The sequence below is a fragment of the Homo sapiens genome, chromosome 11 (genome assembly GCF_000001405.40).
Source record: "Homo sapiens chromosome 11, GRCh38.p14 Primary Assembly".
Taxonomy (NCBI): Eukaryota; Metazoa; Chordata; class Mammalia; order Primates; family Hominidae; genus Homo; species Homo sapiens.
The window spans coordinates 14,396,755-14,408,123 of NC_000011.10; the positions used below are offsets into that span (position 1 = coordinate 14,396,755).

Sequence of the window (11,369 nt, forward strand, 5' to 3'; positions counted from 1 at the left end):
ATCATCTGAGGTCAGGAGTTCAAGACTAGCCTGGCTAACATGGTGAAGCCCCGTTTCTACTAAAAATACAAAAAATTAGCCGGGGCATGGTGGCACACACCTGTAATCCCAGCTACTCAGGAGGCTGAGGCAGGAGAATCACTTCAACCCAGGAGATGGAGGTTGCAGTGAGCCAAGATTGCGCCATTGCACTCCAGCTTGGGCAACAAGAAGTGAAACTCCATCTCAAAAAAATAAAATAAAATAAATCATATATGACCAGATGTGGTGGCTCATGCCTGTAATCCCAGAACTTTGGGAGGCCAAGGCAGGCAGATCACTAGAGGTCGGGAGTTCAAGACCAGCCTAGTCAACATGGTGAAACCCCATCTCTACTAAAAATTCAAAACTTAGCCGGGCGTGGTGGAAGGCACCTGTAATCCCAGCTACTCAGGAGGCTGAGGCACCAGAATCACTTGAACTGGGAGGTGGAGGTTGCAGTGAGCCAAGATTATGCCACTGCACTCTAGCCTGAGCAACATAGTGAGGCTCCGTCTCAAAAAAAAAAAAAAATTAGCCAGACATGGTGGTGAGCCCCTGTGGTGCCAGCTATTCAGAAGGCTGAGGTGGGAGGATCACTTGAGCCCAGGAAGTGGAGGTTGCAGTGAGTGGAGATAGCACCACTGTACTCCAGCCTGGGCAACAGAGTGAGACCCTGTCTCAAAAAATAAAATAAAAATAAATCATACATATTATGATTATTTTACATATATAGGTTTGCTATTTTCATGTTATACATTTTAATATGTTATATACATTATAATATTTTTTACATATATTATGTGAATATATATATGATATATATGTCTTATTGGTTCTGCTTCTCCGGAGAACCCAGACATATACCACTGAATAAAATAGGACCATGAGCACATAGTGATATAACTAGATAAATAAGTTAAAGTTTGATGAAGAACAGTATATTTGCATGGTTTCAAAACATCTACCCACATTTCTTCTAATTAGGGAGAGCAAAAACAAAAACAACATATTCTGCCCACAAAATGCTTATTACAAAGGGAAAGAGTATGTTTTCAGGGAAGAAAGCTGGAAGACACCACCTTCATCAAATTATCAAAGTGAACATCATTAGTAATGGGACAAACGGAAACAATATACCCCCTGGTAAGATGCAATAAGAGCATAATATTATTCCTGTGATATGTAACCTGAATCTAATCACTGAGAAAACATCAGACATAACTAATTTCAGGGACACTCTACAAAATAACTAGAACTGTAATCTTCAAATATGTTAAGTTTATGAATGTGAAGAAAAGACTGAAGTACTGTGTCTGATTAAAAAGGAGAATAAAGAGACATGACAACCAAATGCAACGTGTAATGCTAAACGGCTCCTTTGCTGAAAAAGATCTTGGAATAACTGATGAAATTTGCATGGGGTCTGAAAATTGGATGGTTGTAATGTGTTAATATCAATTTCCTGATTTTGATGGCTGTATTGTGGCTATATAGGAGAATGTCCTTGTGTTTAGGAAATATACACTGAAGTACTCAGTGGTGATGGGTTATCATGTCAGTGACTTACTCTCAAATAGGGGGAAGAAAATTCTTTGTACTAATCTTGCAACTTTTCCTGGGTTTGAGACTGTTTTGAAAAATTAATGTTCTGGGGGAAGACAAGAGAATGCACTGGAAGGCTGATTGCAATCATGTTTGGGCAGGATTTGTTGCCCAGAGGGCTTCTTTGTACCTTGCTAAGGCAGAGGGCTGGCTTTTTCCCTGGACACTTCACTCTTGCTTTCCAAGGCATCTGGTGCCACTAATTCCTGAATCTTTCTAGGGTACTGCAGGGACACTGATTTGCTTCTTGTCAGTGTCTCCTTTGCAAGTACCCTCTGCCCTCGTTTGGTTTTCCCTGAAAGTAAAGTCTGAGATAAGAACTTGGGTGGAGGTAGATTATTTGAGAGATGATCCCAGGAAGCAAGTATGAAGAAGTAGAGAAAAGCTAATCAAAGGAAGAAGGAAAAGCCAATAGAAGGGTACATTATTAAGGTCATCTTTGAGGAAGCTGGGGGCTGAGAAAGGTAGAGAGTGCCTCTCCCAACTGTCTGCCCAAGGCACTGGACATTGAAGCATTCATCCTTTCTTTCTGTGGGCCCCCCTTTTGTTGAGGACTGCCCCCCACTGGCATTAATTTGGGGAGTCCCACTCCCCAAGTGCTTTTTTTCCTGCACATGAGCCAAGCAGCTTTCATAATATCGAAGAAACTTCAGGGCAAAGAGAAAAAATTCGGGTTTCATGTATGAGGCACAACGCTATCAGCACAGGTGAGTTTGAGCTGTGGCTGAAGTCACAGGCAGGCTGAGAAGATATGAATGAGGTACCAGGCAAATCTACTGTAGCAGCTTTGCCTTCCTCCAATTTCTTAAGACAATTTCTCCACCTGCTTTCTCTATTTCAGATTTCTCCCTCTGTTGCCAAGGATGGAGTTTGTGTTTTTGTTTGCTAGTCTCGTTGTTGGCAATGGGCTGATGTCTGAGTAAAGTACAGGGAAAGGACTTTGATTTTGCTATCTTGTCATTAGAAGTCAACCAATTGATAACTAATATAACACTTGCTTTTAATGTATCCAATATGTGATTACACTACTGTGAGTGATTCCCAAACCCTGTCCCCACCTTTTGTAGTTGTCTCATTTTTCAGGATTTCTTTGGCATTGCTGGTTAGTGAAGTGAGATTTGCTCATCCTAGGCAAACCACAGGTTGGACTGCTCCCATCCAAGAGGGAATGCAATTCATGCTCCACAGTTTTCACAGAAGCTTATCAGCTTGAGTATCTATTGGTCTTATACAGTTTTTTCTCTTTCTCTCCCTCTTTCTAGCACCTATTGGTCTTATGGTTGTTGTTTTTTTTCTCTCTCTCTCTCTTTTTCAGATGGGGTCTCACTATGTTGGCCAGACTGGTGTTGAACTCCTGGCCTCAAGTGATTGTCCCACCTCAGCATCTCAAAGAGCTGGGATTACGAATGTGGGCCACTTCACCTGGCCCTTGTCTTATAGTTAAAGCCTATCTGTGGTCACCAAATAGATGCCAGAAGCCCTTGTCAAGAAGCAAAACTCAGACTTAAAGTGTAAACTACCTTCTTATAAGAAGCACAGTTGAAATTTAAAAGTCCAGTTAGAAAGGGACTGAGAAGGGAATATGCCACTTTCAGACAAGATCAGATTCTCTCTTATGCACTGTATTCTTTTAGCACTTTATACTATTATAATTAAATAATTAATTGTGAAATCAATTGTTTAATGTCTAGCCCTCCTCCACTACAAGATAAGTTCCATGGGAGTAGATATGTGTTATTTAAAATATCTTCTGGCCGGGCATGGTGGCTCACACCTATAATCTCAGCACTTTGGGAGGCCTAGGAGGGTGGATCATCTGAACTCAGGAGTTCGAGACCAGCCTGGGCAACATGGTGAAACCCCGTCTCTACCAAAAATACAAAAAATTAGCCAGACATAGTGGCATGTGCCTGTAGTCCCAGCTACTTGGGAGGCTGAGGTAGGAGGATCACTTGAGCCTGCAGTGAGCCAAGACTGTGCCACTGCACTTCAGCCTGGATGACAGAGTGAGACCCTGTCTTTAAAAATAAATAAATAAATAAAATTCATGCAGTGTATGTTTTTGCATACAAGTGACAGAACCTCCAACTGAAATTTGCTTTAAAATTAGAAAATATGTTATTGTACATAAGAAGTTTAGAGGTAGGGTAGGTTCCCAGGTTGGTTGATTCAGCAGCTCAACGTCATCAAGAATATGGATTCTGGTTGGGCGTGGTGGCTCACGCCTGTAATCCCAGTGCTTTGGGAGGCCGAGGCGGGCAAATCACCTGAGGTTGGGAGTTTGAGACCAGCCTGATCAACATGGAGAAATCCCATCTCTACTAAAAATACAAAATTAGCCAGGCATTTTGGCGCATGCCTGTAATCCCAGCTACTCAGGAGGCTGAGGCAGGAGAATTGCTTGAAACTGGGAGGCAGAGGTTGCGGTGAGCCAAGATCGTGCCATTGCACTCCAGCCTGGGCAACAAGAGCAAAACTCCGTATCAAAAAAAAAAAAAAAAAAAAAAGGAATATGGGTTCCAATGAGAACACATGGACACAGGGAGGGGAACATCACACACTGGGGCCTGTCAGGGAGTGGGGGACAAGAGGAGGGAGAGCATTAGGACAAATACCTAATGCACGTGTGGCTTAAAACCTAGATGACGGGTTGGTAGATGCAGCAAATCACCATGGTACATGTATACCTATGTAACAAATCTGCATGTTCTGGGCATGTATCCCAGAACTTAAAGTAAAATAAAATAAAACTAAAAATACGGGTTCTTTCCACCTCCCTACATGCCATCTTTGGTGTTGACTTCACCCTCAAGCTGCAAGATGGCTATAAGAGTTCCAGTCATCATACAAAATCAAGGCATAAACTTCGGAGGAAGAAGAGAGAACACCTCTCCTCGCTCTTTTTTTGAAACAAAGAAACTTTTCTTGGAATCCTCATCATACAAAATCAAGGCATAAACTTTGGAGGAAGAAGAGAGAACACCTCTCCTGGCTCTTTTTTTGAAACAAAGAAACTTTTCTTGGAATCCTCTTACATAGTTCTCAACACCCATTGGTCAGAATTGAGTCATATGCATATTCCTAGACTAATCTGGGCAAGGGGATAAGATTGCCTTTAGACCAATCAGTCAGGCCTAGCTCTTGGAATTGGGCCTGGAGTCTTCTTCCCTTGATACTCATGGCTACATGAGAGAGAAATGGATAGCTGAACAAAATCAAGATTCTGTTAAAATGGAAGCTGGAGGCAACACAGAGTGTCCACTAACTCTCCGCACAGCACACGGCTATTCAAATCTGCTAGCCCGGGCTGGACGACAATCTCTATGAAAGCCACTGGCTGTCCTCACTACCCTCCATTCCGATGTGGACACCTCCCCAAAACATTTCCCCTCTTTCTTTCTTGTTACCCAGCTCCCCGTCGAGTTCTGGAATTAGCCACTCCCAGGCACGGCTGTGTTTTACCTTGAGGTTTTTGCTACATTACCACTGAAGACGCTGTTTATGCTCTTGTTCAATATCCTTTATATAAGAATGTGTGATGAATGTCTCTTTCAATTACATGTTTGTATCTATAGACAAATATCCTCTCACCAAATGAGGACAATTACACAATCCATAATCATTCTTCCTTGCAACAGTGAACTTAGAGCTATCTATAGTGCTCAATAGCTGTCATGATCTCATCCCAGGCTCTTGGTACCATTACGTTTCTCCTTTCTCTAATATTGTGTCAAATATCTGGTTGTTGTTTTTTCTTCATGTAATAAGTTGATGTTGGGAAAGACTGGACCCCAGGATTTTGAGCTGCTAATGGGGAGAGACCAACAATACAAGAAACTAGACTTAGTTTGGCACAATTCCCCCATGGGCCAGAAATTGATTTCCCAGATTATATATCTTAATTTGAGTTTAATTTGATATCTAAAAGCTGACTGACCAGACATTGGAAAGGTATTTATATCAGATTATTGCAATTGTCTTTTGAGGACTGTAAGGCCAAAATATACTCTGGTGGTCTTTTAGGAAATACGTTCTGAAGGGAATGGTTATTACCATAGTTATTCATCCTGGCTAGAGTTCAATCCGGTGGCTAGAAATGAGGTCTGGGGAGCCACCCCGTAGAATGGGGTAAGGCAAGACTTCCTCCTTTCTCTGATGCCTAGGGCCAGTTTGGCCTGGACTCTAAGATCAGAATATTCCGGGAGAACTCCTGGTGGTCATAAATACTGACTCCTGCTGTCATGAGCCCAGGCCTGGAACATAGCAGGAAGATGGATAGTGGGGGTCCCAAGGAAGGATCTGAGTTTTTGCAGTCATTGGAAATTCTCATCTTTTGTTAATGTGCCTTTCCTTTTTCTTGAATCATCAGTCACTTCCCTTGAAATATTATGGGCTGGTCTCTGCTAGGATATGTGAAATTGAAGGGAAGGTCTTGTCTCACACATCGGCCATAGAAACCAAGTTCTGTCTACTTGAACCCCAAACGGTGTCGGCAGTAGTTGTCAGCAGAGGATAGCCGGGTCTGTGGAGCAGAGACCTCAGGGGTCACTGTGGCAGAGGTAGCAGTGTCGATACATGGTGAGGAGGCCAGAGAGAAAGTATAGGAAAGATTCTCCCTCCCTTCTTCCTTTCTTTTTTTCATTCCTTCCCTTCTCTCCTTTCCTCTCCTTCCTTTTTCTCTTTCTTCTCTCCTGTCATTTCCTTTTCTCCTCCTCCTTCTCCTTCTTCTTCTTCTTTTTTTGACAGTCTCCCTCTGTCACCCAGGCTGGAGTGCAGTGGCTTGGTCTCAGCTCACTGCAACCTCCATCTCCCAGGTTTGAGCGATTCTCCTGCCTCAGCCTCCAGAGTAGCTGGGATTACAGGCATCTGCCACCATGCCCAGCTAATTTTTGTATTTTTAGTAAAGACAGGGTTTTGCTATGTTGGCCAGGCTGGTCTCAAACTCTCAAACTCCTGACCTCAGGTCATCCGCCCACTTTGGCATCCCAAAGTGCTGGGATTATGGGCATGAGTCACTGCACCCAGGCCACCTTTTTTCTTTTTTTTTTTTTAGAGACTAGGTCTTACTCTGTCAAATAGGCTGAGTGCAGTGGCACAATCATAGCTCACTGTAACCGTGAACTCCTGGGCTCAAGTGATTCCCCCTGCCTCTGCCTCCCAAGTAGCTGGAACTACAGGCACATGCCACCATATCTGGCTAATTTTTTTATTTTTTTTAGAGATGGGGTCTTGCTATGTTGCCCAGGCTCGTCTCAAACTCCAGGCTTCAAGTGATCCTCCTGCCTTGGCCTCCCAAAGCTCTGGAATATTACCGGGATGAGCCACCACACTTGGCCCTTCTTTTTATTTTGTTTGTTTGTTTGTTTATTTATTTATTTATTTATTTATTTATTTATTTATTTTGAGACAGCGTTTCTCTCTTGTTGCCCAGGCTGGAGTGCAACAGCGTGATCTTGGCTCACTGCAACCTCCACCTCCCAGGTTCAAGTGATTTTCCTGCCTCAGCCTCCCAAGTAGCTGGGATTACACGCACCTGCCACCACGCCAGGCTAATTTTATATTTTTTAGTAGAGACAGTGTTGGGGTTTCACCATGCTGATCAGCCTGGTCTCAAACTCCTGACCTCAGGCTATTCACCCGCCTCAGCCTCCCAAAGTACTGGGATTACAGGTGTAAGCCACCTTGCCCTGCCCTCTTCTTTTTAAATAGGTAACATATTCACATGGTCCTAAATGAAAAAGTACAAAAAGCATATACCCCAGACATCCAGTCACCCAGTCCCTTCCCCTTCTCACCCCTGCTACTAGTTTCCTTTGAATTCTTGCAGGGAAACTTATGAATATACAAACCAGTATATATATTTATATAAATATATGTTTATTTAAAAGATATTTATCAAAATATACTTATATTTATATTTATTCATGTGCTGCATAACATTTCAGTCAATGATGGACTACATATAGGATGGTGGTCCCATATTTTAAGAGAGCTGAAAAATTTCTATGTCTCGTGATGTTGTGGCCATCTTAACGTCATAGCGCAAAGCACCACTCACGTGTTTGTGGTGATGCTGATGTAAACAACCTACTGTGCTGCCAGTCGTACAAAAAGTATAGCACATACAATTATGTACAGTATATAATATTTGATAATGATAATAAATGACTAGGGGACTGGCTTATGTGTTGACTATACTATACTTTTTTATTTTTATTTTGAGGAGTCTCACTCTGTCACTCAGGCTGGAGTGCAGTGGCGTGATCTTGGCTCACTGCAACCTCTGCCTCCTGGATTCAAGCAGTTCTCCTGCCTCAGCCTCCCGAGTAGCTGGGATTACAGGCGTGTGCTACCATGCCTGGCTAATTTTTCTGTTTTCAGTAGAGACGGGGTTTCACTATGTTGGCAGGCTGGTCTCGAACTCCTGACCTCAAGTGATCTGCCCGCCTCGGCCTCCCAAAGTGCTAGGATTACAGGTGTGAGCCACTGTGCCCAGCCGACTATACTATACTTTTTAAGTGTTATTTTAGTGTGTACGCCTACTTACTAAAAAAAAAAAATAAATAAGTCAGGCACAGTGGCTAATGCCTGTAATCCCAGCACTTTGGGAGGCTGAGGCAGGAGGATCACTTGAGGCCATGAGTTTGAGACCAGCCTGGGAAACATGGAAGAAACCCTGTCTCCATAAAAAATACAAAAATCAGCCAGGTGTGATGGTGTGTGCCTGTAGTCACAGCTACTCAGAAGGCTGAGGTGGGAGGATCTCTTGAGCCTGGGAGATTGAGGCTGCAGTGATCCATGACTGGACCACTGCACTCCAGCTTGGGTGACAGAGCAAGATCCTGTCTCAAAAAAAAAAAAAAAAAAAAAAGGGCTGGGCACGGTGGTTCAGGCCTGTAATCCCAGCACTTTGGGAGGCCGAGGTGAGTGGATAACTTGAGGTCAGGAGTTCGAGACCAGCCTGGCTAACATGGTGAAACCCCATCTCTACTAAAAATACAAAAATTAGTTGGGTGTGGTGACAGGCGCCTGTAATCCCAGCTACTCAGGAGGCTGAGGCAGGAGAACTGCTTGAACCTGGGAGACAGAATTTGCAGTGAGCCGAGATAGCACCATTGCATTCCAGCCTGGGTGACAGAGTGAGACTCCATCTCAAAAAAAAAAAAGTTAACTGTAAATTAGCCTAAGGCAGATCTTTCAGGAGATATTTCAGAAGAAGGCATTGGTGTCATAAGATGACAGCTCCATTTGTGTTATTGACCCTGAAGGCCTTCCAGTGGGACAAGATGTGGAGGTGATATTGATGATGCTGACCCTGTGTAGGCCTAGGCTAATGTGTGTGTTTGTGCCTTAGTTTTATTTTTCGAAAAAATCTAAAAAATAAAAAGTAAAACAAACTCCCATGACACAAGTTCACCTACGTAACAAACCTTAACATGTACCTCCAATCTCAAAATAAAAATTAAGAAAAAAGCAAACAGCTTACAAAATAAAGATATAAAGAAAGAAAAAAATTTCTATTTAAAAACTCATTTTTAAATTTTATTTATTTATTTATTTATTTATTTATTTTAGAAGGATCTCACTCTGTCATTCAGACTGGAGTGCAGTGGCACAATCATAGCTCACTGCTGCCTCAAACTCCTGGGCTCAAGTGATCCTTCTACATTGGCCTCCCAAGTAGCTAGGACTACAGGTACACACCACCACACCTGGCTAATTTTTAAATTTTTGGTAGAGATGGGGTCTCACTGTGTTTCCCAGGCTGATCTCAAACTCCTGGCCTCAAGTGATTCTCCCTCCTTGGCCTCCCAAGTAGCTGGGACTACAGGCACATACCACCACGCTGGGCTGCATTTTTAAATTTAGTGTAGCCTAAGTGTACAGTGTTTATAAAGTCTACAGTAGTGTACAGTAATGTCCTAGGCCTTCATATTACCTCACCACTCACTCACTGACTCACCCAGAGCAATTTCTAGTCCTGCAAATTCCATTCATAAGTGCCCAATACAGGCGTACCATTTTAAATCTTTTATACCATATTTTTACTGTATATTTTCTATGTGTAGATGCACAAATACCATTGTGTTACAATTGACTACAGTAATCAGTACAGTAACATGCTGTACAGTTTTGTAGAGATGGAGTTTTGGAGTTTTGCCATGTTGCCCAAGCGAGCCACCCGCCTTGGCCTCTCAAAGTGCTGGGATTGCATGTGTAAGCCACCACACCCAGACTGGGACATTATATATTTTTAAATATTTTCCTTTTATGAACAATGCGTATTTAATTTCCCATGTGGGTAAATATATCTACTGGAGAAATTCCTACAGGTAGACTTGCTGGGTCAAAGGGTATGTGTTGCGGGAAGTCAGGGACCCCAAATGGAGGGACTGGCTAAAGCCATGGCAGAAGAACGTGGATTCTGAAGATTTCATGGACATTTATTAGTTCCCCAAATTAATACTTTTATAATTTCTTATGCCTGTCTTTACTTCAATCTCTAAACATAAATTGTAAAGATTTCATGGACACTTATCACTTCCCCAATCAATACCCTTGTGATTTCCTATGCCTGTCTTTACTTTAATCTCTTAATCCTGTCAGCCGAGGAGGATGTATGTCACCTCAGGACCACGTGATAATTGCATTAACTGCACAAATTGTAGAGCATGTGTGTTTAAACAATATGAAATGTGGGCACCTTGAAAAAAGAACAGGATAACAGCAATTGTTCAGGGAATAAGAGAGATAACCTTAAACTCTGACCACTGGTGAGCCAGGCAGAACAGAGCCATATTTCTCTTCTTTCAAAAGCAAATGGGAGAAATATCACTAAATTCTTTTTCTCAGCATGGAACATCCCTGGGAAAGAGGATACGCGCCTGGAGGTATAGGCTTATAAACAGCCCCCTCAGGTGCACCTGCCTCTTATGGTTGAGGCTGCAGGGGTGAAATAGACCACAGTCTCCCATAGCGCTCCCAGGCTTATTAGGAAGAGGAAATTCCCGCCTAATAAATTTTGGTCAGACCAGTTGATCTCAAAAACCTGTCTCCTGATAAGATGTTATCAATGACAATGGTGCCTTAAACTTCATTAGCAATTTTAATTTCGCCTCGGTCCTGTGGTCCTGTGATCTCGCCCTGCCTCCACTTGCCTTGTGATATTCTATTACCCTGTTAAGTACTTGATGTCTGTCACCCACAACCTATTCGCACACTCCCTCCCCTTTTGAAAATCTCTAATAACAACTTGCTGGTTTTTGCGGCTTGTGGGGCATCACGGAACCTACCAACATGTGATATCTCCCCTGGATGCCCAGCTTTAAAATTTTTCTCTTTTGTACTCTGTCCCTTTATTTCTCAAGCTGGCCAATGCTTAGCAAAAATAGAAAAGAACCTACGTGAATATCGGGGCAGGTTCCCTGATAGGTATGAGCATCTGTAATTTGGGTATATCTTGCTATATTGAGGAGGGACCTGTTCTTGAATACATATGGAATAGCACCCTGAAACAGTTTCAGAAATAGCTGGGAGAATCCATGAGGACAACTTTTTTCTGGGAATTAATTGGTGGAACTTAGTGGTTTGGGCATAATAATTCGGGTTACATTTAGATCTCCTGAGTGATGGTTATTTATTATAAGACTTCTCATGACAGACACTCCCAATTGTCTCCCTAAATCCATTCACCTCTTCTTTCATAGTAATAGAGGTTAAGTTGGGCAAATGGCCATTCATTTCCT

At 42.6% G+C, this 11,369-nt stretch overlaps 1 annotated feature.

Annotated features, from left to right (window-relative positions):
• Nucleotides 10,338–11,016: an enhancer, noted in NCBI's record as "OCT4-NANOG hESC enhancer chr11:14428638-14429316 (GRCh37/hg19 assembly coordinates)". NCBI's record gives its function as "activates a minimal SCP1, AML or CMV promoter by ChIP-STARR-seq in naive H9 embryonic stem cells {active_cell/tissue: H9 hESC(naive)}" and the evidence as "EXISTENCE:reporter gene assay evidence [ECO:0000049][PMID:30033119]".